The 26,708-nt window shown below is 49.7% G+C and overlaps 1 long non-coding RNA gene across 1 annotated transcript in view, besides 2 other annotated features; it reads right to left on the bottom strand.

Annotated features, from left to right (window-relative positions):
• Window positions 3,149-3,669: an enhancer, noted in NCBI's record as "H3K4me1 hESC enhancer chr22:49315147-49315667 (GRCh37/hg19 assembly coordinates)". NCBI's record gives its function as "activates a minimal SCP1, AML or CMV promoter by ChIP-STARR-seq in naive H9 embryonic stem cells {active_cell/tissue: H9 hESC(naive)}" and the evidence as "EXISTENCE:reporter gene assay evidence [ECO:0000049][PMID:30033119]".
• Window positions 20,048-20,548: an enhancer, noted in NCBI's record as "H3K4me1 hESC enhancer chr22:49298268-49298768 (GRCh37/hg19 assembly coordinates)". NCBI's record gives its function as "activates a minimal SCP1, AML or CMV promoter by ChIP-STARR-seq in naive H9 embryonic stem cells {active_cell/tissue: H9 hESC(naive)}" and the evidence as "EXISTENCE:reporter gene assay evidence [ECO:0000049][PMID:30033119]".
• The window catches only part of LINC01310 (long intergenic non-protein coding RNA 1310), a 31,617-nt gene continuing 29,526 nt past the window's right edge, over window positions 24,618-26,708 (bottom strand). Inside the window, exon 7 of the long non-coding RNA NR_038944.1 lies at window positions 24,618-26,206. This is a non-coding gene — a long non-coding RNA (long intergenic non-protein coding RNA 1310). The remainder of the gene's footprint in view (window positions 26,207-26,708) is intronic.

Raw genomic sequence — 26,708 nt, 5'->3', positions numbered from 1 at the left:
GAGGCAGGAGAATGGCGTGAACCCGGGAGGCGGAGCTTGCAGTGAGCCGAGATTGCGCCACTGCACTCCAGCCTGGGTGACAGAGCGAGACTCCATCTCAAAAAAACAAGCAACAACAACAAAAAAGCCATATGTGATGTACCTGTTAATAGGGACTGGAGTAAGTCGGTCTTTAGCATGAGGTTTTGTGCTAATCTGGCTAGTAGATATGTTCAGTGAGTGCTGGGGCTGCAGGCTCCGGGAACATTCTTTGCTTTGGTCTGTCCTCTCACTACCAGTTGCCTGGGCTTCACCTCCAGAGTGAGAGGGTGTAGCTTGCATCTTTTCTGCTGTAATCCTCTACCAATGTCTGGAAGCCCCATCAGCGGAGCAGTGAATTGCGGGGAGGTGAAGCTTTTGATAATCCTATGATTAAGTTTCACTTCCTTAGTGGGTCTGTGTCTTTGGCTTGTCCTCTACAAGCGTTTCCTACCTTTCTTCCCCTCTTCAGTGAGACAAGAACCCAGGGGGAGCTGGAGTGAGCCCGCACCCTGCCCCCAAGTGCACAGGCTTCGGTGCTTTCCTTCCTGACTGCTAAGTAGGCATCTGTTATGGAGAACACTGGGCAGGTTTCAGAAAGGCTCTGTGGCCCTCCTCCTGCCCAGACATTAGAAAGGCTTCCTGTGCTCTTCACTACAGGAACCTGGTGGGGTTCCTGGAGGTAGATCCCACACAAGTGTGGAGTCCCCCTTAACCTGTAGTCCCCAGGAGTTTCTCTCTCTCCAGCCAATCCACGCTTGGCCTTCACAAGTCATCAAAACGAGCGTGTGTGCGTTCCCGCTCGTGTGAGGCTGCAGTGGCTTCCGCCCAGGTGATCGGGCCTCAGCTGTGATTCTGCACATCCATCTGTCTTTCCAGATTGCAGGGAGGCAGTTTGTCCTGCCTCCTTAATTCTCAGACGGTGCAAGGAAAGTCATTGATTTTCAGTTTGTTCAGCCTTTTTCGTGTTGGCAGGATGGAAGTGATGACTTCTGAACTATTTACATGGCAAAGCTAAACCTGGAACTCCTCCTTCGGGGCTCCCGTGAGGAGGGGACTGTAGTCGACTCTGGTGCATCTGACATTCTTCAAGTTTGGGGCTTCTGCAATGAGCCCAGCATCCTGTAGACCAGCGTCCCTTCTCCACAACCCAGCGACTGCCACATAGCAACCGAGAGGTCTTTTCTTCTCCCAGCTTCTCAAAGCTCACCTGTAGCCTCCAATAAGGCCCACGGCTGCGGGCAGTCAGGTCTGAGTATTGCCTGCAAGGTGCCTGATGCACAGCCCTCGTCACTGAGTCCAGGGGAGGCGGTGGCTCTCACATGTCTTATGACACACGGGGCATTTCTGCAGAATCCAGCGTGTTCAGGGCTGCATACAAGCGTGCCCTGGATTTGAACCTCAATGTCTTTGTCTCTGGTCTCCACATGAATATTTATCATGGGGAAAGCAAAGCCGGCACACCAGCCCCCCATTCACAGAATTCATCAACAACGCCTTTGTGAAATTTGACTTAGGAGCTGCGGATTGAGCAGGAATGAATGCCTGTCATTTTCCTAATCACAAAGGCTGTTATGAACAATGTTAAATGGGCTTTTATTCTTTTATTTCTGTGTGACCCAGAACCTTGGGAGAGCAAAGTGATGGTGAATTTGTTACAAAATAAAATGCGAGCCAATCCACAAAGAGAGTCATAGGAGGTGGCTTCCACACTGCGTTCAGGAGACTGGTCCTCATCCTGAATTTGTTCTGGCACTGATTGTAGGAGGGCTCGCAGGCCCACTGGAAGAGCCTACCTGTCCCGAGCTGGGGCTCCGTGGTCCCCCTTCATTCCCACGGGTGGGTGACCAGCAGGCCCCGGCCAGCAGCATGGCTTGGAGAAGAAACTGAGTGCAGAGCCCTCCAGGATCTGGCAGGCCTCGTCTACACGCCCCCATCTGCTCTGTGTCAGAACGGCCGTAAAGCCAGCCAATCTGGGATGAGACACATTTCAGCCGCTTGTTTAATGTCCAGTAAGCAGCAGGTGGGTCAATAAATGTCTCCTTCCTGCCGGCCCCATGTCATCACCCACGTGCACCCCAGGGCTCTGGGCCAGCTGCAGCGCCATGACTGTAGCCACCAGGAGTACTCAGAAGGCCCCCAGCCCATGCCCCCTCCTGGCACTGGCTTCAGATTTGCTGCCTCTTCTACCCACAGTGAAGGGACCCTCCCCACTTCCCACTCCCGGAGAACTGTTGTATGTGCAGGCAGAGCTGAGAGCAAAGTCTTTCTTTCCGGGACATCTTTTTCCTTGAAAAGTCCACTCTCAAGTTTTCCTCTGGACTCCCCCTTCCCCTGCACTCTTCCTTCCACAGGGCAGCCCTTCAGAGCAGAGAGTTTTAGTGGAACCCTCTCTGTCTCTCTCTCTTTCTCCTGGACACACACACAAATACACAACCCAGTTCTCTCTTAGGAAACTCCTCAACCTCAGTGCCTCTCCACTGAGATGGGTCCCAAGTGCCCCTGGGCCCAGGCACCCAGCCTGCCCTTGCCCCTCCTTGGATGAGGAGCTCCGGAGCTGAGCGCAGACCCTGCCCCAGAACCTCAGGCTGTGCGTGTCCCTGTGACCCCCTGACCACCTGTTCACAGAGTGAGTGCCTGCTGTGTGCCTGGCTGTCACTGTGCCAGCACAGCACCAGAGACCCTGGGTCCCTGCCCCTCCGAGGGGACCAGAAGCAAGCAGGAGTGTAACCAAGCCAGGAGGTGGCTTGCCCCGGGGGGGTGGAGAGCTACCAGAGCCGTTCCTAACCAGGAGGAGCACATTTCCTAGGGGTGAGAGAGGGCAGGCCCTATGAACGGCAATAGAGGGCAATCGTGTGGCCCCAGTGCCCCGTGGCCAGAGAGGTGCTTCCTCTGTGGGAAGGTGCCCGAGCCTGGAGGGCCTCGATGTCCAGCCTGCCCTGCATCCAAAGGGGCTTCATTACAGAAACTCACCGACCTCAAGTGTGAGGACCCATATCGCTGCCTGGAGTGAAACCACTTGTGTGTCCCCCGAATCTGTGAGCCAGGGGCACTCGATGTCCAGGGTCTGTCAGGACCTCGCATGAGCAGGGTCAGGGGGCAGGACCTGGCTCCAGGACGCAGGACACTTCTGAAACCTGATCCATCTTGAAAAGGAGGTTTATGGTGACTTAAATTCCACTGTGTTAAGATAACGTATTTCTCAAAAATTAGCTGGCCGGGGTGGTGCGTGCCTGTAATCGCAGCCACCTGGGAGGCTGAGGCAGGAGAATCACTTGAACCAGGGAGTCGGAGGTTGCAGTGAGCCGAGATCATGCCACTGCACTCCAGCCTGGCAACAGAGTGAGACTCCATCTCAAAAAAAAAAAAAAAGCAGCTGCCAGGCTCATGAAGGGATGAACAGGCCTCTACATGCCCCAGCCACTCTGCAGCTCGCGTGAACCGCCGCTTTAGAGATGAGTCTTTGGACCAGGGAAGCCGCTGACCTGCAGCTGGGAGATTCCTGCCGCCTTGGTCGGACGAGGGCAGCTGGTCCTGAAGCCATGGAAACCCAGGCCATTGTCCTTGCATCTGTGGTGGAGGCTCCTGTCGCGGGCCCCACCGTGCTCTGAATGGCAGCCCGCCCAAGGCTGGCTTCTTACCCCCAGCTGCGAGGGGCTCCCCGCTGCACCCTCGTCAGGAGGATCACTCTTCCGCAGTGGGAGCTGGCAGCCGGGAGATGCCTGGGAGTCACACACACACACACACACACACACACACACATGCACCTCCGAGGGATGCAAGTCCTCAAAAGCCTGGCCGCGGCCCCCAGGAAGTTTCTGCCTCACAGTTTCCTCAGAATCAGGCTGAGCCCAGCATCCTCATGTCAGTATCCAGACCCCTCAATGTCATACTCAAAGCCACAGGCTCATTTTACCCCTAAATGTCCTTCCCAGCATTTCCCATCTGGGCACCAGCACAGCTCCCCCAGCTGTCCTGACTCGTAGAGCCACCACTGCCTCAAATTTCTTTATGGATTTATTAGCCAAGTGCTTATTCCAAGACACAATAGCTTAGTCTTAACCAGTTTTGTTGTTTTGCTTGATAGACCCCTTAAGCCTCTTTCAATCAGCAGCTTACCCTCAGAGCCTCTTCTTTTCCTTTTGTAAACACCAGGTTTATCTTTTGTAAACACCAGGTTGTTTGAGCTGGAGGGTTTGCCACCGCCTGGATGTTGCTCATGGTGGAGGATGGGCCATCAGCAGCCAGACCTGGAGGCTTCCCCTGGCTCAGAGTCCACCTCTTGGGCACAACCCTGGGTGTCTCTCCCACGAAGAGGTGCTGTTTTCATTCTAGCAGTTATGGACGTTCCACACCGAGATGTTACAATTCACTGGAAAGTATCCTAATACTACTGTTTTATTTTCCTTTAACAGCTCAATACATTTTTGTTTTTGAGACAGAGTCTCACTTTGTTGCCCAGGCTGGATTACAGGCGCCTGCCAACACGCCCGGCTAATTTTTTTTTTTTTTTTTTTTTTTTTTCCCCAGTAGAGACGGGATTTCACCGAGTTAGCCAGGATGGTCTCGATCTCCTGATCTCGTGATCTGCCCACCTCAGCCTCAGAGTGCTGGGATTACAGGCGTGAGCCACCGTGCCCGGCCCTAATTTTTTTTATTTTTGATAGAGACAGGGTTTTGCCATGTTGCCCACTCTGGTCTCAACCTCATGGGCTCAAGCAACTCACCTACCTTGGCCTCCCAAAGTGCTAGCATTACAGGCATAAGCCACCATGTCCGGCCCGAAAAAGTTTTATAAGGAGACTCTTCCTTGCAGCCACATGCAGTTATTCTGTGATACAGGCCACAGAGTTGGTTCTCTGCAGATCAGTGCTGGATGATTCACTTGAGGTATCTAATTTTTAAGATAATGAATCTTTTTCTGTATCCACCAGGTGCTCTGTGCATTTTGTTCTAATGCCATGATTTGAATGATTCAAGCAGACATGATGGGTTTCAATCAACTGCAGTCCTCATCCTGGTTGGGGCATAAATCACATCATCATCGGCCAGTGGGGTCCCTTCGAGTTGGCTCCTGAGTCTTTGATGGCTTCCTCACTCTCTGGGCTGTCAGGAGGTTCTAGGCCTGTTCAACCCTCAGATCTCGGCAGGCAAGGCTGGCTTTGGGGTGTGCCTACCTTAGAGTTTTCCAAGTTCTCTTTAAGAATTCAGTGCTGGTGGGGTGCCCAGGCCCGGGCCAGGCTGTCCCTGGGTCTCTGCTCCCAGATGTGCCTTCTTCAATATTCGAAGCCTCCTTCCATTAAAAAAAAAAATCTAATTACTCTAATTTTGTGTAGGATGTGGGGAAAATGCTAAAACTATGCTGCTATTGCCAGTGCCACCTTTCCAGATATGAGGCTTTATTTTTTTTTTTCACATCTCATCATTAAAAGACTCACATGTTTCCTGGCTTTCGTCCCAATTAAAAGGAAAGTGTCACATGAGTAAGGACACGTTTTTCAGAGTACTTCCAGCGCTCGGCACATGATGACCTGCAATAAACATTTACTAAGTGAATGAGTGGGTGTCTACTGAGTATTTATCTTATGTAAATGACACATACATTCTCTCCTTTAATCTTTCCAGTGGCATAACAAAGTAGGTATTATCATTTTACCCTATTTTAGAAGTGAGGAAACTGGTGTTTAAAGAGGCAACAGCTGCCCAAGATAGAATATCCAGTGGTGAGGCCAGGGCACTGGCTCCAGAAATGCTCTTCAAACACAAGCAGATCAACACGCAATTCAACACCAAGGGGGAAGACAGGACGTTTGTCTGTAGACAGGGCATCATTCCAATGCAGCGGATCTAGGTACGTAGGGATCTAGGTACGCAGTGGATCTAGGTATGTAGGGATCTAGGTACGCAGTGGATCTAGGTACACGGGGATCTAGGTACGCAGTGAACCTAGGTATGTAGGGATCTAGGTATGCAGTGGATATAGGTACGCAGGGATCTAGATACACAGTGGGTCTAGGTTCACAGGGATCTAGGTACACAGGGCTCTAAGTATGCAGGGATCTAGGTACGCAGGGATCTAGGTATGCAGGGATCTAGGTACGCAGGGATCTAGGTACACAGGGATCTAGATACACAGTGGATCTAGGTTCACAGGGATCTAGGTACGCAGGGCTCTAAGTATGCAGGGATCTAGGTACGCAGGGATCTAGGTACGCAGGGATCTAGGTACGCAGGGATCTAGATACACAGTGGGTCTAGGTTCACAGGGATCTAGGTACGCAGGGATCTAAGTATGCAGGGATCTAGGTACGCAGGGATCTAGGTATGCAGGGATCTAGGTACACAGGGATCTAGATACACAGTGGATCTAGGTTCACAGGGATCTAGGTACGCAGGGCTCTAAGTACGCAGGGATCTAGGTACTCAGGGATCTAGGTATGCAGGGATCTAGGCACACAGGGATCTAGGTACACAGTGAACCTAGGTATATAGGGATCTAGGTATGCAGTGGATCTAGGTATGCAGGGATCTAGATACACAGTGGGTCTAGGTTCACAGGGATCTAGGTATGCAGGGCTCTAAGTATGCAGGGATCTAGGTACGCAGGGATCTAGGTACGCAGGGATCTAGGTACGCAGGGATCTAGGCACGCAGGGATCTAGATACACAGTGGATCTAGGTTCACAGGGATCTAGGTACGCAGGGCTCTAAGTACGCAGGGATCTAGGTACGCAGTGGATCTAGGTACGCAGGGTGTGGGGAATAGAGAAGTTCTTCCAAATTTCCTAAATCCATAAAAAGCGTATCATCCCCTGGTCAAAGGTTTGAATGTGCATATTCCAAGATGGCTCCAACTTGTTCCAGCCAGTTGAGATAAGGCTAAAGGACTTCCAATAGAAGTCCAGAAACTGACCCTAAGAAATATGGTCAATTGATTTTTGACAAAGGTGTCGATAATTTAATAGGAAAGCACAATATTTTGAACAAATAGTGCTGCAAATAATGTATATTCGTATGCAACATGGTGAACTACAACCCTGACTTCACACAATATGCACAAATTAACTTGAAATAGATAATAGAACCAAACGTTAAAACCACCAATATTTTGAATATAGAAGCATTTTAAGCAAGTATTTATTAATAAGCTATTAGAAACTTGAACTACAGAATTTTTAAAAAACAATAAGTGAGATTTCATCAAAATTAAAATGTTTGCTCTTCAAACCACCCAAGAAACTGAAAAGGCAAACCACAGACTGGTTTTTCACAAAATAGTTGAAAAAGCAAATATAAAAGCCTTGTATCCAGAATATTTGCAGAACTCTCACACTCAGTAATAAGATGTCAAACAAAACATTTAAGAAATGGGCAAAACATGTGAACAGATGCTATACTGAAGAAGGTAAACATGGGGTTAATAAGCATATGAAAAGATGCTCAACTTCATTCAACTTTAGAAGAATGCAAATTAAAACTACAATGAGATACCACTTCATGCCCATTAGAATGGTTGAAATTTAAAAGACTGAAGATACCAAGTATTACTAAGGATGTGAAGAAATTAGAATTTTCATACGTTGCTAGCAGAAATGCAAAGTGAGACAGGCAATTTGGAAAAGGGTTCAGCAGTTTTTTGTAAAGCTCAGGACACGTTGTCACATGACTTAATAATTTCCATCTTCGGTATTTATCTAAGAAAAGTGAAAACGTACACCCACATAAAGGCTTGCACATGAATATTCATGCAGCTTTATTCAAAATAGCTGTAAAAAATGCTCTTCAACTGATGCATACATACACACGTTGTGGTATATCTGTACTAAGGAATACTAGTCTGCAATAAAACAGAGTAACAATATTTACCAATGCCACACTACAGCATGGATAAATCTCTGTATCATTATGTTAAGTGAAGGAAGTCAGACACAAAACCAATACCAAATGAAAGAATTCTAGAAGGGTCAAAGCTAGAGAGCAAAAGGAGAACTGCGTGATGGGTGCTGTGGAGGGGGTGTGAAGTTACTGGAAGGCAAGAGTAACTTTTGGAGCTGTTACAAATGTCACATGTCCTGATTGTGATGGTAACAAAATTTATAGATTTATATACCTTGAAATGATGCATTTATTGCATATTAAACATATTGTAATGTAATGAAACTAAAATAAATGGTTATTTTTGGTTTGCCAGTGAAATTGGGCAACCAATGGAATCAAACAACAAAAATAAGTCAGTGGAAGAAGGAAAAGAGCAGTAAAATATAATCAATCAAGAATAAAGCGACAAAGATAGAACCAAGAACATATGGGATACATTGAAAACAAAAAGATAGTAGGCAAATCAAATCAAGTATAACTTTATGTATAAATGGTCTAAGTGCTCTAATTAAGTCGGCGACAGGATGGATGAAAAGAAAGACGTAATTGTATTCTGTTTATAAGACATACAATTTAAATACAAAGAGCCAGATAAATTAATAAAAAGTAAAAACGAGTCGAAGATGCACAATGAAAACACGAGTGGCTGCATTCAAAGCGGACTTTAAGACAAGAAGTAGTATCAGATAAAAGGAGGAACATTTTAAAATGAAAAATAAATTCATTCAAAAACAGTAGTTTTTAAAGTGCACGCAGAGAGAGAGAAAAAGTGCTTTAAATACCCGAAGCAAAAAAACAACAGAATTAAGAAAGAAAATAGATCCACAATTACAGAGGGAGGTTTTAATAGTCCTCTCTTGGAAATTAATAGATCAAAAATATGAAAATAACAGTAGAAAAATGAGTGAGGTAAAGAAGATGTGACTAGCTCTGTCAACCCACTTCGACTAATTGGCACTTGTGGAACACTGCAAACCCAAACTGTGGGATACGCACGATTTTAAGCGCTCACAGGATAAACTTCCAAATTCACCATAAGCTGAGCCTTGAAACATGTCTCAGTGAAGTTCAAAAGACTGAAATTGTACAAATTATATTTTCTAATCACAAGGGAATTGAAATAGAAATCAATAAAAAAATTGTTACATAAAACACTCATATATTTGAAAATTAAATAACTCACTTCTATGTAATTCATGGGTTAGAGAGGGGAACCACAAGGATTATTAGGAAAAAAAAATGATAATGAATACCAGACATATAAAATTGTAGAAGATACAGATAACAGTAGCTTAGAAGGAAATTTATAGATTTATATTTTAAGTTTAAAAAATAAGAGATTCATGATTTCAGTCATATATAATTCTGCCTTAAGGAGTTATGTGGTAAAGCGAATTAAACCAGGGGAAGTAGAAAAAAATGAAAATAAAAATGAAAATAAAAATAAAGCAAAATGTATTAAAACTGCATACAGAACTCCTATCAAAGGCATCAAAAATAATCTGGTAGGTAACTAGTAGGTAAGCTAATCAGTTTTTAGCCCAATGGTTGGGGAATATTGCTGGACCCAATAAGGTCAATCTTTGCAATAGCAGAATGTAAAGGCTGCGATTATATATTCTGTAAAACATCCCCACATTTGACTACTGTCAACGTGGACCTAGATGTGCAAAAGCATTGTTTACTAATGAACAAATGAATTACTGAATTAAAAAGAAAAGAATAAAGATTTCAGGAGAAATAGATAAAAGAGAAAATAGAAGAATATAAATATTCAGAAGGTGATTATTTGAAAAGATTATTACATGTGATAAACTTCTAACTAGATCAATAGATAACAAACAAAGAAAAAACAAATTATCAGGAACAAAGGGACTCAGCCATACATTAAAAGGATAACAAATAATAGAAACAACTTCATATCAATAATCTCACAACTTAGCTAAAGTGGAAAAATACATAAAAAGCCTAACTTAGCAAAATTCACAAAAGAAGAAATGAAAAATCTGGGGGGAAGACTTCAACCACAATGAAAGATTTCAGAATCTCGGGGGAGACTTCAACCACAGTGAAAGATTTCAGAACCTGGGGGGAGACTTCAACCACAATGAAAGATTTCAGAATCTGGGGCGGGGGAGGGGGGAGACTTCAACCACAGTGAAAGATTTCAGAATCTGGGTGGGGAGACTTCAACCACAATGAAAGATTTCAGAATCTGGGTGGGGAGACTTCAACCACAATGAAAGATTTGAGAACCTGGGTAGCGGGGGGAGACTTCAACCACAAAGAAAGATTTCAGAACCTCGGTGTGGCGGGGGGGGGAGATTTCAACCACAATGAAAGATTTCAGAATCTCAGGGGGAGACTTCAACCACAGTGAAAGATTTCAGAATCTGGGGGGAGACTTCAACCACAATTAAAGATTTCAGAATCTGGGGGGAGGGGGGAGACTTCAACCACAATGAAACATTTCAGAATCAAGGGCGGGGGAGGGGGGAGACTTCAACCACAGTGAAAGATTTCAGAATCTGGGGGGAGACTTCAACCTCAATGAAAGATTTCAGAATATGGGGGGAGACTTCAACCAGAATGAAAGATTTCAGAACCTGGGTAGCAGGGGGAGACTTCAAAGACAATGAAAGATTTCAGAACCTGGGTGTGGGGGGGGGAGACTTCAACCACAGTGAAAGATTTCAGAATCTCAGGGGGAGACTTCAACCACAATGAAAGATTTCAGAACCTGGGTAGCGGGGGGAGACTTTAATCACAATGAAAGATTTCAGAACCTGGGTGTGAGGGGGGGAGACTTCAATCACAATGAAAGACTTCAGAATCTCAGGGGGAGACTTCAACCACAATGAAAGATTTCCGAATCTGGGGGGAGACTTCAACCACAATGAAAGATTTCAGAACCTGGGTGGCGGGGGGAGACTTCAACCACAATGAAAGATTTCAGAATCTCAGGGGGAGACTTCAACCACAATGAAAGATTTCAGAATCTGGGGGGAGACTTCAATCACAAAGAAAGATTTCAGAATCTTGAGGGGGAGACTTCAGCCACAATGAAAGATTTCAGAATCTGGGGGGAGACTTCAACCACAATGAAAGATTTCAGAACCTGGGTAGCGGGGGGAGACTTCAACCACAATGAAAGATTTCAGAATCTTGCATGGGAGACTTCAACCACAATGAAAGATTTCAGAATCTGGGCGGGGGAGTGGGGAGACTTCAACCACAATGAAAGATTTCAGAATCTCAGGGGGAAACTTCAACCACAATGAAAGATTTCAGAACCTGGGTGTGGGCGGGGAGACTTCAACCACCATGAAAGATTTCAGAACCTGGGTAGCGGGGGGAGACTTCAACCAGAATGAAAGATTTCAGAATCTTGGGTGGGAGACTTCAACCACAATGAAAGATTTCAGAACCTGGGTAGCGGGGGGAGTCTTCAACCACAATGAAAGATTTCAGAACCTCGGTGTGGTGGGGGGAGACTTCAACCACAATGAAAGATTTCAGAATCTCAGGGGGAGACTTCAACCACAATGAAAGATTTCAGAATCTCAGGGGGAGACTTCAACCACAATGAAAGATTTCAGAATCTCAGGGGGAGACTTCAATCACAGTGAAAGATTTCAGAATCTGGGGGGAGACTTCAACCACAATGAAAAATTTCAGAACCTGGGTGTGGGGGGGGAGACTTCAACCACAATGAAAGATTTCAGAATCTTGCATGGGAGACTTCAACCACAATGAAAGATTTCAGAATCTGGGCGGGGGAGTGGGGAGACTTCAACCACAATGAAAGATTTCAGAATCTCAGGGGGAGACTTCAACCACAATGAAAGATTTCAGAACCTGGGTGTGGGCGGGGAGACTTCAACCACCTTGAAAGATTTCAGAACCTGGGTAGCGGGGGGAGACTTCAACCAGAATGAAAGATTTCAGAATCTTGGGTGGGAGACTTCAACCACAATGAAAGATTTCAGAACCTGGGTAGCGGGGGGAGTCTTCAACCACAATGAAAGATTTCAGAACCTCGGTGTGGTGGGGGGAGACTTCAACCACAATGAAAGATTTCAGAATCTCAGGGGGAGACTTCAACCACAATGAAAGATTTCAGAATCTCAGGGGGAGACTTCAACCACAATGAAAGATTTCAGAATCTCATGGGGAGACTTCAATCACAGTGAAAGATTTCAGAATCTGGGGGGAGACTTCAACCACAATGAAAAATTTCAGAACCTGGGTGTGGGGGGGGGAGACTTCAACCACAATGAAAGATTTCAGAATCTGGGTCGGGAGGGGAGACTTCAACCACAATGAAAGATTTCAGAATCTGGGGGGAGACTTCAACCACAATGAAAGATTTCAGAATCTCAGGGGGAGACTTCAAACACAATGAAAGATTTCAGAATCTCAGGGGGAGACTTCAACCACAATGAAAGATTTCAGAATCTCAGGGAGAGACTTCAACCACAGTGAAAGATTTCAGAATCTGGGGGGAAACTTCAACCACAATGGAAGATTTCAGAATCTGGGGCGGGTGAAGGGGGAGACTTCAATCACAATGAAAGATTTCAGAACCTGGGTAGCGGGGGGAGACTTCAACCACAATGAAAGATTTCAGAAAGTTATACTTTTTTGGGAATTTGGTCACAGATTTAAGGAAAAAAATACCAATCATAATCCCAGCAATTTGGGAGGCTGAGACGGGCGGATCACGAGGTCAGGAGTTGAAGACCGGCCTGACCAACATGGTGAAACCCCATCTCTACTAAAAAAAAATACAAAAATTAGCCAGGCATGGTGGCACATCCCTGCAATCCCAGCTACTCAGGAGGCCGAGGCAGGAGAATCGCTTGAACCCGGAAGGCGGAGGCTGGAGTGAGCCAAGATCGTGCCACTGGACTCCAGCCTGGGCGACAGAGTGAGACTTCCTCTAAAAAAAAAAAGAAAAAAGAAAAAAGAAATCTTTTCAAAGAATGAACAATTACACACTTCCTCATAGATTTAAGATTACACACTTAATCTATAAGGCCAGCACAATCCTGGTACCTAAACCTGGTGAAGATATTATAAGGAAATGAAGTTGGAGCAGCATCCCTAATGAACATAGATTAGAAAATGCTTAACAAAAATACTAGCAAATTAGATATTCCAATATTTATAAGAATAATACGTCATAACTAAGAACTTAAAAATCAATCAACACAATCACAACTGTAAGCAAATTTAGCAGCCTTACGAGTTACATTTATAAACACATTCAATCGTACTTCTATACATTAGGAAAAAGAATAAATGAAAATTTAAAAATATTATTTACATTTGAAAACGTAACATGCTTCAGAATACATTTAAAGAGAGATATGCAAGACCTCTACAATCAAAATGACAACATTATTAACAGTGAAAGAAGACACAAATAAAAGGAAAATACATCATGTTCATATTGGAAGACTCGATGTTTATAAGATGTTAGTTCCCCCCAAATAGATTTATAGCTTAAAATCAATCTCAACAGAAGTCCAAGCAGAATCTCTTTGGAGGAATTTACAAGCAGATTCATAAAAAAATGGAAATGACTTAGAACAGCCAAAGCAAACTTTCAAAGAAAGACAGAAGTTGCAGGACTTCAGTACCTTAGTCCAGGCTTACTATAAATCACCAGGAATCGAGACAGCGCAGTGTCAGTGTGCAGAAAGAAAAGCCAACGGGCAGAATAAGATGTCCAGAAATGGATACAGAACTTCTTGGTCAATAGATGTGAAACAAAGATCCTGGTGAAATTCAGTGGGGAAGGGAGATGGTGCTGGAGCAGGTGAGTTATCATTAGAAATATCTTATGCCTGCCTCACACTATACACAAAAAGTAATTCAAGATTCATCACAGACTTATGCATAAGCAGCAAAACCATTAAACTTCTAGAAGAGAACATAGAAGAATAATTCATCATCTTGAGATAGGCATATGTTTCTTAGATGAGACGCAGAAAGCCTAACCACAGAAAACTGATAAAATTGGTCTTTATCATAATTAAAGCATCTGCTCGACAAAAGACACCTCTAAGAAAATGAAAAAGCAAGACATGGGAAGAAAATATTCACAGTGCACATATCTGACAAAGGACACAGATCCAAAATAGATAGGAAAAAAATAGCTCCTACAATTCCAGAAGAAGAAAACAGTCCAAACAAATTGACAAAAATGTATAGAAACACTTCACAAAAGAAAATACACAAATAGCCAAAAGGCACATGCCAAGTTGCTGGCGTCATTAATCACGGGGGGACACACACATGCCAGGTGTTTCCCACTAGGATGGTTGAAATTGAAAAGACTGGCAGCGTGCAGCGTGGGCAAAATTACCGAGGAGCTGGAACAGGCACCCCTGCGTGGTTCCTGGCGCAATCACTTTGGAAGATGTTTTGTTGTTTCTCACAGTGTAACACACGTCTCTACTTCATGATTCTCAAATTCTACTCCTAGGTGTGGGCGGAGGATTACCTAGGTGCCAAGGCAAGAGACTGAGGCACAAACTGTTTCAGTATAATAAAGAAAATAATTAGAATAAGAATAGTCATAATACAAATTAGATATAGAGATGACCATGAAGAATTATCAATCATTATAAACATTATTAATCATTAGCTTTTAATATTACTCTTTGTTGCATCACTAATATAACCTAGGAATAACCGGCGGGTATAGGGTCAGGTGCTGAAGGGACATTGTGAGAAGTGACCTAGAAGGCAAGAGGTGAGCCTTCTGTCACGCCCGCATAAGGGCCGCTTGAGGGCTCCTTGGTCAAGCAGTAACTCAGTGCCTGGGAAGCCACCCTTTACTTAGCAGACTGCGAAAGGCAGTCTCCTTTCTTTGAAGGAGTCAGGGAACACTCTGCTCCACCAGCTTCTTGTGGAAGGCTGGATATTATCCAGGCCTGCCCGCAGTCATCCGGAGGCCTAACCCCCTCCCCGTGGTGCTTCAATGGTCACGCTCCTTGTCCACTTTCATGCTCCTCCCGTACTCCTGGTTCCTCTTTGAAGTTCGTAGTAGATAGCAGTAGAAGAAATAGTGAAAGTCTTAAAGTCTTTGATCTTTCTTATAAGTGCATAGAAGAAAACGCTGACGTATGCTGCCTTCTCTCTCTGCTTCGGCTACCTAAAAAGGAAGGGCCCCCTATCCTGTAATCACGTGACTTGCTTCACCTTGTCAATCACTCAGAAGATTCACCCTTCTTACCCTGCCCCCTTGTCTTGTATGCAATAAATATCAACGCGCCCAGCCCTTTGGGGCCACTACCAGTCTCCGCGTCTTGATGGTAGTGGTCCCCCGGGGCCCAGCTGTTTTCTCTTTATCTCTTTGTCTTGTGTCTTTATTACAGTCTCTCGTCTCCGCACACGGGGAGAACACCCACTAAGCCCCGTAGGGCTGGACCCTACACCTAGGTATGTATTTGGATAAAATGAAAGCAGGTTCACAGAAACATCGGCATAAAAATATTCATAGCAGCTTTTTCATAAGAGTCTCAGACTGGAAACAATTTAAACACTCAACAGGTGACTTTGTTTTATAAACAAACTGTGGACTCTTCATCCACGGGAATATCACTCAGCAATACAAATCCAGCCACTTAGACCTGATCACACAGAGGCGTCTCAGAAGCATTACACCGAGTAAAAGCAGCTACTGAAATCAAGCACACACCCTAACCCTGTTCCATTTCTATAAAGTTTCTGGACAGGCGAGGCCAGTCAATGGAGATGGGCAGCAGGGCAATGGGTACCGCAGGAGGTGGCACAAGGAAGCTTTCAGGGAGGTGACATCTTCCTGATTTTGGTTGTGACGTGTGCTACTGAGGTTCAGTTGTGTCAAAACTCACTGGATTGGACTTTTAAGAACTGTGCTCGTCACTATGAGAAACGAGCCCTCAGTTACGTAACTAATACAACTAACTGAAAAATTATGCATTAATGCTAAAACTCGATTCCTACCAACCCTTAAAAACAGGGCAGTGACTCTGCCTACACCTCTTGGCTTAGGTGTAGCTGCTGTCACCACGGTGGATACCACCTGCGCCATCACCCAGGCCAGGGAAGTGGGCATTAGACAGACAGGGATAGCACTAGGAATAGGGTTAGGGATAGAGATGGAGGTAAGGATAGGAATGGGAGGGAGACAATGATGGAGCTAGAGAAAAGGACAGGAATAAGGATAGAAAGAGACAGCGACATAGAGATAGAGGTATGGGGAGGTAGATAAAGAGATAAATAGACACAGAGAAAACAGAGTATTTATCCTGAGAACTGGCTGATGTGATTATGCATGTTGCGAACTCCCACACTCCGGCCTCTGTCAACTGGAGCTTCTGGAAGCATAGATGATGTCTAAGCCTCCTGTGAGGTTTAGAGATAATCTATGTTCATGCGAGCACCTCCCACACAGTCAGCATCCCACCGACGGCTTTATGCGCTCATGTCCCCCCAGGCCCAGGGACACCTCCGAACCCAGTGTCCTCACACATCAGAGGCCCTGTAATCAGGGCACTGACACAAACGCACTTTCAGAGGGAAGGTAAATGTGAAGATAGGCTCTGCTTCCTCCTGCACTGAAAATTAGGGGCACTGGCCTTGCGGGGAAGGCTGGGGGAAGCAACACCGCACAGCTGCCATGCCTGCTCTCATCCCCGCAGCCTGCTGTCCCCAAATGTGCTCGATTTCAGAGCATAATGGGCAGAAGGTGTTTCATTTTCCAGAACCCAAGGAAAAAATGTAATATTGAAACAGCGCCGGGGACGGGGTTAAGAAAGAGATCCCTCTGCCGCCACGTGGTGCTGGGTTTGATTTCATTTCCATATGAACTTGTGTCCTTCTCCCAACCTTATTTCCTGCTAATCGGAGGAGCCAGCAGGACCACCCTAGCTTTGCTGGGTTGTGCCGTTACTTTTAATGGCAATATATTCCTATCAGCCAGAAGTCAACTGGAGTTGGGAGGGCACGTCAGGCAAGTGACAAGGGATGGGAGAAGCGTGGGCCCTTCCCCTGCAGGTGGATGACTCCCCAGAAATGCTATTTTCTATTTTCTTTGACATCATTGTCCCCATCAGCTTCCCCCTCACCCATGGAAATTGCCAGTCTCAGGGATGGGCAGCAGCTCTGGGGGCGGCTCTTTGCTTATTCTGCAGGGCCTCAGGGTCAGCAGAGGAGGCATGATTGTCTTTAGAACACCTTAATGGGGTGATGGGAAAGAGATACTGGGCCCAGGACCCTGCGCATCCACCAGTGGCTGCCTCGGAGAGAGGAGGCTGGTTCCAGCCACAGGAGCCCACCAGCGTGTGGTCCTGCCTGTTGCAGACCCGCCCAGGAGGCCAGGAGCAGGCTGGCCAGGAGACCACTGTTTGAGGAAAGACCACTGCGGGGGAAAAGGTGCAAGCAACGCCTTTTGTCATCCAAAAGAAATAAGAGTGATGCTTCTCCCAGGCTCACGTCAGGATGCCTGGCTGTGGTCCTCACAGGCGTGGACACCATGGGACACTCATCCTTGGGGGCCCCCGAGGGAGGAGACACAAGTCAGCATCAGGTTTGTGTGGATGACTGGGACCAGGAGTGGGAGGGACACCTGAACGGGGTGGGGACAGTGTCCACCCTGCAGTGTCTCCTGGCCAGGACCACCTACTCAAGGGGCAGAGTGGGGCTGCTTAGACAGGGCCTGGCACTGCCTGGATTCACCCTCATCACCCACCTCTCTTGGCTACCGGCCAGATACCCTGGCCAGACCCAGCTGGAGCGAGTGCACGGCGGGCATGCACCAGGGTGGGCTTCTCCTGTGCCCCACCAGGTGCCACGCCATGGGAGGTGCCCACATCAGGGGAACCGAGAAAGTGGGAGGGATGCAGGTCTCATGTGCCACACCATGGGAGATGCCCACATCAGGGGAACCGAGAGGGTGAGAGGGATGCGGGTCTCATGTGCCACACCATGGGAGATGCCCACATCAGGGGAACCGAGAGGGTGAGAGGGATGCGGGTCTCATGTGCCATGCCATGGGAGGTGCCCACATCAGGGGAACGGAGAGGGTGAGAGGGATGCGGGTCTCATGTGCCATGCCATGGGAGGTGCCCACATCAGGGGAACGGAGAGGGTGAGAGGGGTGCAGGTCTCACGTGCCACACCATGGGAGGTGCCCACATCAGAGGAACTGAGAGGGTGAGGAGGATGCGGGGACTCTGTGTGCAGCTTTTCCCACTAAATTGTCCCAAATCAAAAGTTTATTTAAAACACGGAATGTAAGGAAAGAAAGCAAAGACAGTGAAGACAGTGGGGCTTGGAGCGCCGCTGTGAGTGGGGACAGAGAACCTGGAGCTAAAGGGGGTGTGCGGGGCCACGGGAGGGGCTTTGTCTCACAGGGTGGGTGGTATTCACTTATGATTCACTTACGAGTTTTCCATCATGATGGGAGTGAGGCAACAGAGAGCAGAGAGAGAAAAACAAACTAAAACACCCCTTCGCCATCTTCACTCTTGTCTGGGAGAGGCAGTTCTATAGGCTGAAAAACCCCAGATCAGAGAACGGCGAAAATGCAGTGGAAGGCTTCATGACCTGCAGGGATGGATGCGGCCTTGGCCTCCCACGACTAAAGGCAGGAGGTCAGCAGAATCATCTTGTTTATTAGTAACGGAATGTGACCTGCATTTCTAGCAGTACAATGTATTCATAAACTGTTCCATAGACTTAAATATATATAGTATTTTCTATACTCACTTTATATTACAAAAGCAAAATGTATTTAAAACAACAAACACAAGGTAACGTCTTCCCCCAGGGTCCCTCGGTTGTACCCAGGGGATGGGTGTCGAAGCCTGAGGAGGCTACCTCTCTGCTTCTATTATGGACTGAGTGCGTCCCCCAAATTCACATGTTGAAACCCTATCCACCAAGGCATGGAATAGGGAGCTGGGTCTGTTATGGACTGAGTGTCCCCCACATTTAAATGTTGAAACCCTACCCACCGAGGACATGGTATAGGGAGCTGGGCCTTTGGGAGGTGACAGGTCGTGAGGGTGGGTCCCCCACGCGTGGGATTCATGCCTGTCTCAGTCGGTTCGGGCGATTATAACAACATATCCCGGGCTGGGGAACTTAAGTGATAAACATTTATTTCTTACCGTTCTGGAGCCTCAGAAGTCCAAGATCAGGGTGCCAGCGTATCACAGTTCTTCAGAGAACCAGGGCCAGTGGGGCGTGTATAGAGATGTATAGAAGGAGATTTATCATAAGGAATTGGCTCACACAATTATGCAGAGTCTGACCTCTGCAAGTTGGAGAATCAGAAAAGGCGTGGGCCAGGAGCGCCAATGCTGAGCAGAAGACAGAGAGGAGGATTCTCCCTGCCTCTACCTTTGTGTTCTACTGGGGCCCTCAGAGCCTTGGAGGGTACCTGCCTACACGGGGGAAGGTGGGTCTTCACCCAGTCTATGGATTTAACTGCTAATCGTTTCCAGAAACAGCCTCACAGATACACCCAGAAATAATGTCTTACCAGCTGTCTGGGCACCCCGTGGCTAAGCCAGGTTGACACACAAAAGTGATCATCACAACCAGCACGTGGGTTCAGGTGAAAGTCCTCTTTTGGTTGCACGCAGATGATTTTCAGCCATCAAAGCCAGCGCGTGGGTTCAGGTGAAAGTCCTCTTTTGGTTGCACACAGCTGATTTCACCTTTGGTTGTTGCATTGTGAAAATGAGCAAGAGTTCTTTCTGGAGTCCCTTTGCTGAGGGCGCTAATCCCGTTTACACTGGAGGTTAGGATTTCAGCACCACAGAAATTTGGGGGTGACACGGCTCAGGGCTGCAGGCCAGGCCCCGGAAGCAGGGAGGAGGCTTGGTGGGAGCGTTTAGGAGCGCTGTTATCTCACGTGCTCGGCAGACTTTTGGAGGATGAGAGGCTGTCCCATCGTTGGGGGGAAGGCACTTCGTGGGTGGTCCTTTTCAGTGCGTGGCTCTCCGTGTGGCGCCACTCTGCAGACCCTCCAGAAAGCACCTGCCCAGCGGGAGGCTCCGCAGAAGGTGCCTCTGCTGTGAGGAGGCCAGAAACTCCCAGCACCGCGGTAGGGACGTCGTTGAATTGAACCTTTCTAGATGAGGCTGGTCCCTCAGCAAAAAGGTCCCATTTCAGCACAGTAGGTTTCCTTTTCCCATTTGGAAGCCTGAGATCAGAGGACTTGTGACAGAATAATTCCTGTGATGGAAAGTAGCATCTTCCTGACAGTGGGTCTGCCGGCACGGACGGGGCCCCCAGGACCGGGACTTCTGAAAAGTGAAGGCGGCCGGACAATACGGGCAGTGGCCACAGTGCACGGACACTGTGCTGCGTGCTTTCAAGACGCAGTGAAGTGCAGTGCGAGAGAGGCCCTGAGCCACGGTGCCAGCGATGGGCATGGACCCAGGGTGCACCCAGGCAGCAGGCCTGACCCGCAGCTCCGTGTCACACCTGGAAACGCCGTGAAGGGGCCAGAGGAGGCTGTCTGTGGCCCAAGCCCTTGTGGGCTCTCAGTTTCCCTCCATTTCCACCTCCTCCCCTCCCGAGACCCTGGCATTCACCCCAGCTCTCCACAGCAGGACACACAAAATCCGCTCTTGCCTTGTATACTCCAGCCAGAAAGTGACACAGGTCCTGCTCCTCATGGCCCATCAGTGGGATCAGTCAAAAGGCTCCCCTGCCACTCCCCAGCAATGTTCCTGTCCACACAGCCTGCCACTCCCCAGCAACGTTCCCCAACCAGCCCTGAGACCTCCTCCTGGCAGTCCCAGGGCACCTCCGCCCACCAAGCCCAAACAGGAGCTGGGCCTCTTCCTCCCGTGTATTCTGCACTCCATCCACATGGGCTTGGGCCACGGGCAGGCTCCTCTGGCCCCTTCACGGCGTTTCCAGGTGTGACACGGAGCTGCGGGTCAGGCCTGCTGCCTGGGTGCACCCTGGGTCCACGCCCATCGCCGGCACCGTGGCTCAAGGCCTCTCTCGCACTGGCCTTCACAGCGTCTTGAAAGCACGCAGCACAGTGTCCTTGCACTGTGGCCACTGCCCGTATTGTCCGGCCGCCTTCACTTTTCAGAAGTCCCGGTCCTGGGGGCCCCGTCCGTGCCGGCAGACCCACTGTCAGGAAGATGCTACTTTCCATCACAGGAATTATTCTGTCACAAGTCCTCTGATCTCAGGCTTCCAAATGGGAAAAGGAAACCTATTGTGCTGAAATGGGATCTTTTTGCTGAGGGACCAGCCTCATCTAGAAAGGTTCAATTCAACGACGTCCCTACCGCGGTGCTGGGAGTTTCTGGCCTCCTCACAGCAGAGGCACCTTCTGCGGAGCCTCCCGCTGGGCAGGTGCTTTCTGGAGGGTCTGCAGAGTGGTGCCACACGGAGAGCCACGCACTGAAAAGGACCACCCACGAAGTGCCTTCCCCCCAACGGTGGGACAGCCTCTCATCCTCCAAAGGTCTGCCGAGCACGTGAGATAACAGCGCTCCTAAACGCTCCCACCAAGCCTCCTCCCTGCTTCCAGGGCCTGGCCTGCAGCCCTGAGCCGTATCACCCCCAACCCAAGGCACCGGGGCAGTGCCCACCAAGGCTACCAGACGGAATCCCCACCTGGGATAATGGGTGAGGAATGTCCTCTGGGTCCTCCTTCTTCCTGAGGGAAAGGAGACCTGGATCAGTGGTTTTTTATCTGGAGATTGGGGATCCTGGGGAGCCCAGGAAAGTAGGCCGTGGGTCTCCACAGTCTCCTCCCACAACCTACAAGAGCACTTGGAAACCGAAGCTTTGGCCACGAGCAGAGGGCACAGGCACCAGCGCTGGGCGGTTTGCATGGGATTCTATTGCTCAGGGCTGGGTGTTTTGGGGGGATTCTATCAGCTCAGGGCTGGGTGTTTTGGGGGGATTCTATCAGCTCAGGGCTGGGTGTTTTGGGGGGATTCTATCAGCTCCAGCGCTGGGTGGTTTGCATGGAATTCCGTCAGCTCAGGGCTGGGTGTTTTGGGGGGATTCTGTCGGCTCAGAGCTGGGTGTTTTGGGGGGATTCTATCAGCTCAGGGCTGGGTGTTTTGGGGGGATTCTATCGGCTCAGGGCTGGGTGTTTTGGGGGGATTCTGTCGGCTCGGAGCTGGGTGTTTTGGGGGGATTCTATCAGCTCAGGGCTGGGTGTTTTGGGGGGATTCTATCGGCTCAGGGCTGGGTGTTTTGGGGGAATTCCATCAGCTCAGCGCTGCTGCACCAGGTTTGTCGGACTCTGCAGAGGGTGCGGCTCGGAGCTAGGTACATCTCCTCAGTAGACAAAAATTGAAGTTAATCATTACTAAATAATTCACGGAGGCTGTGTGGGTTTTTCTGTTTGTTAGTTCTGCTTTTGGTTTTTAAAATGGAGCCTGTGAGTAGAGACAACCACCCCACTGTGTCTACCTGGTGTGTAGCATGGGTGCCCATGGGGTCTGTGTGGCCTGTGGCGTGGGTATCAATATCCCCACAGACATTGACAGAAACTGCATCAGGAAAAGCAGTGCCTCCTCCAAGGTCCCACAGCTGCTACTTAGTGGAAGGTGGCCTCGAATACAGGCCCAGTTTCACCCAGAAGAGTAAACATCCCCACTGGTTTGCCTCAGGTCACACCTTGTGTGATGTGGGTTCGCCACAGCAGACACCTTCAGCTTGTATGGTAGCAAGTATTTGACTTATGCCACTGAATTAGGAAAACAGGTGGCAAGTGTGCTGTCCTCCAGGGCAGGTGACGCCCCTCTGGTCTGGGGCCAGTGCCCTCCCCGGTGTGGGCAGCAGCCGGGTGGTTCTCTCGATAGCACAGAGAGGGCTCGGCGGGGCCAGCAGAGAGAACTGGTGGAGGAACGCGTCTCCCTACGACGCACTTTATTAACTGGACGCTTGCTTCGTGCCAGCATGGAGGAGCACTTTTCGGGGAAGCAGAGGCGAGTTCATCGGGAAAGGAGAGCATTATCGGCGTAAAGGTCTTCTGTGGAGGACTAGTTAGTGGCAGGGCACTCAGCTCTTCCAGGAACAGCACGAGATTGCAGCTTGAAAAATGGCCACCGAGGAATGGGTGGTCCACTTAGGCCTCTGCGGAGCCGGGCACAATATTAATGACATCATTAACTTCACTGTGAATTTCCATACCCGGTAGGCCCTTGTGCACACTTATTAATACGGCTCCACTCGAGAAGGCCTCTGGGTGTTCCGTGTGCAGAATAACAATCGCTCAGGTGGCCAGGACGGGGTGCATGTCCAGGTGGAAGACACTGGACGGATGGAGCCGCCACTCCTGGGCAGGGCACCTGGCCGGGAGGAGACCCCGAGAGGCAGGCCCTGCTCTGGAAGCGTTTCCATTCCTCATGCCCACAGCAAGGCAGTGGACGGGAGCCAGCGCAGATCCGGGGCCTGAGAGGTGCCATGGGTTCGTCGGCCTCTGCCCCGTGACCGTGAGCAAGTGGGCATGTACCTCAGTTTCCCCTTAGCGTACGAGGAGTACAGGGTTATCCTGAGGTTCAAGGCTGCAGCCACAGCCTCGTCACACACCACTCACTCATGCCGGGAGCTACCACTGGGTGATTTAATGCTGGACACCCTGATGACCCTGTAGGGTAGGGAGGAAATTATTTTTCTTTTACAGTTAGGGAAACAGAGGCACGGGAAGATAAAGCCACTCACCCACAGAGACACAAGCATGGAACAGGGGACAAGATTCAAGCTTCCAGTGCAGAGTCACTGTCTGTGTCCCCCAGTGCCACACTGCACCATCTCCATGTATCAAGATGGGAACGTTTCCCAGAAAGTAAAACTCCAGCACTGGTGCCCCCCATAACCCAGGAGCCCACAGACAGTGGCCGGGAGCAGGTGCCCACCCAGGATGTCAGTGGCCCTGGGCAGGTCATCCAGCTTCTCTAAGCCCCAGGTTCCTTGTTTGTCAAGCACGGAGGGTGGTCCAGCTGCTGCTACAGGGTTCCTTCGGGAGGCAATGAGGTGAGGTCCATCCCCGGAAAGCACTCTGGGCACGCTCAACACTGAGGGCCCCTTTCACAAGGTGGCTGTAGGCGGGGCCACAGGACGAGAAGGCGGCCAGGCTGTGCTTGGGTGTGTTGATGATTCCGCACAGGTGGAGGGTGGATGTCCCCAGGCAGTGGCAAGGACTTGGGAGAGAAATTCATGTCCCAGATCAGGGGAGCCCCAACCAGGGGAGCCCCAACCAGAGGAGCCCAGCTTCGGGGCAGCACAGGGCTGTGCAGCCTCTGGAGCTGTGTGCCATCGTGGACCCTGTACCCAGAGCCTACCAGAGTAGGAGAGACCCCGGAAGCTCCCTAGGCACCCGGGGGGACTCTCATCCGATGATCCCTGTTTCTGAGAGCTTGGCCATTCACACATGGCGCCTGGCCCCTGGAGGTGCAGGCGTTGACGATGTCTGGGTCCTGTCTGGGCCACCTGGTGCTGCTCTGAGAGCCAAGACCCCTTCCACTGTGGGGCCCTTTGCTGTCCTCCAACGGGAGCCCCTCAGAAGGAACAGGCTTCATCGCGAGGGGAGACGGTGCACTGTGGAAGGCTAACTGATTCTAATGCTTTTCAGAACATGAAGGATTAAAATTCTAACACTGCCTGTAAAAAACCACGCGCCTCCAGTAGAAAATAACATCTCACAATTTCCATCTCAGGCCGAGGATGGTGCATTATAGGAAATGATACAAATTGAATTAATTTTCATTCTCATTACAGGGATGGGGTTACAAGCTGCCGTTCTTCTGGACACGGGGTCCTTGGGAGTCAAAGCGGCCCCAGCACAGAACTGTTTTCTCCCAGGACCCTGACGTCCATCTTGCAGGAGATCTGGGGGTGGGGGGCACCCAGGGAGGGGCAGAGCGGGTGGCAGGAACAAACCCACAGGGGGTCAAGGGGAGCGCCTGGCCTGGGACCCTGTTACCTGCAGACTGCTGGTAGAACTGGCTTCCCTGCGGGCCCAGCACAGGAGGGTGTAGGGATGGCCCTGGACCATCCGTCTGCAGACACAGACATGCAAGATGGACCTGCTGTTTCACTCCACTGACTGGAAGAGAAGATGAAGCACCAGCCCCAACCCAGCCATCACAAAAGTACCCCCAAGAGCTTGAAGGTTTGAACTGTGCTTGGGCAGGGGTGGAGGCCTCTGGGGCCTTGGAAGTTTGAATATCCCTTCTGTCACCTCTGGAGGCCCACATGTCACCAGGCCAGCCTAGACTCCACCATCAGCCGGTGGGGGGAGTGGACCACTTGCAGGGGATGGCCCAGCCCAGACTGGCTTCTGTTCCCCGTGGGCCCAGCAGGGCATCGGCTGTCCCCTGTTATCAGAGGAGGGTCAAAGCCAGGCAGGGCCCTCATGTCCCGGGGCGGCGTCTTCTGTCTGTGGAGCCTCCAAGGTCAGGAGGCTGGAGCCATCCTCTCCTCACCCAAAGTGGCCAGGACCCCAGGCAGCCCTGTGGGGCAGAAGCCGGGCAGGGCAGGTAATGGAGGGCCACGGCTGAGCCGGGAAAGCATCCTGAAGCCTTGCCTCAGACCCGGGAGCCCTGCTCCGGAGAAGGAGTCAGTGAGACTTGTTATACACGGTGACAGAGGCTGTTCAGGTCCTTCCTGATGGTACAGGGACCTGGTGATTTTCACCTTCTGCCTTTCGTGCTGGGGAAGAGGCTACAGGTTTGCTCTGGCCGAGGTGCGTCCACAGGCCTGAGAGTGCAACCACTGGAAGGCAGTGGAAGGCGCGGAGTGTGAAGGAACAGGCATCTGCAGGGGACTCTGGCTTCACCTGTGGGACTAATTTTTTTTAAATGCTGTTTATTGTTTGATTTGAAGCCAGCGCTGGTGGACGTGGGGTGCCAGCTCCTGAACACCTTCCAGCGGAGAGCGTCAGACCCAGATGGCGGCGGAGGAAGCTTTGGGGTTGACAAGCCCCTGCATGAAGTCGAAGGACTGTCCCCCCTCTCCCCGGGACAGCAGCCAAAGTGGCGTCTCCTCTTCTCCCGGGAGCCGCCGTGGGAGGCCGGCGCTGTCCTGGATGCAGCAGGCGGGGTGCAGGGGTCGTGCCGCTGCTGCCAGGACCTTTTGTGGCAGCATCGATTGCTCAGAGAGCGACCACACTTGGCTGCGGCCCAGGCAGCGTCTTAGGAAGGCATGTTCATTACATCAGATGGCCTCCTGCTCTGGGGAACCTTCCTCCTCCCCATCAGCCTCCACATCTTTTTGAAGCCAGTGGGAAAGGCTGAGGCTCCCTGGCTGACTCACACACTGGCTACAACGGAAATGAAATGAGAGGTTGCCCTGTGTGAGAACACCAGGATGCCGGCCTCACCCTTCGCCCCTCAGAGTTCCCACCACGCTCACCCCCTGCAATTTCAGTTCCTGGCTCCCATTCTCCCATAACGCTTCCCATAACGGATTATTTCAGTGTCTGCTCAAGCGTCCCCTCCAATCCCCTGCCCCGCACATCCTTTACCTGCTTTTCTCCAGTGCTTATATCTGCCACTGTCTCCAATAATGGTGTCCCATTCCCCCTCGCTCTGCCCCGACCCCCTCTGCTCCTGCCATGTCCCCCCTTGCCCTCCACCCCATCACCTCCCACCCCTGCCCTGTCCCCACATGCCCTCCACCCCCTGCCCACTGCCTCATGCCCTCTGCTCTCCACCCCATCCCCCCCGCCCTCGACCCCATCCCCCCTCTGTCCTCGACCCATCACCCCCTGCCCTCCGCCCCATCCCCACTCTGCCCTCCACCCCATTGCCCACTGCCCTTCA

Source organism: Homo sapiens, chromosome 22 (genome assembly GCF_000001405.40).
Source record: "Homo sapiens chromosome 22, GRCh38.p14 Primary Assembly".
NCBI classification, from domain to species: Eukaryota; Metazoa; Chordata; class Mammalia; order Primates; family Hominidae; genus Homo; species Homo sapiens.
This window is presented reverse-complemented; position numbering and strand designations above follow the sequence as displayed.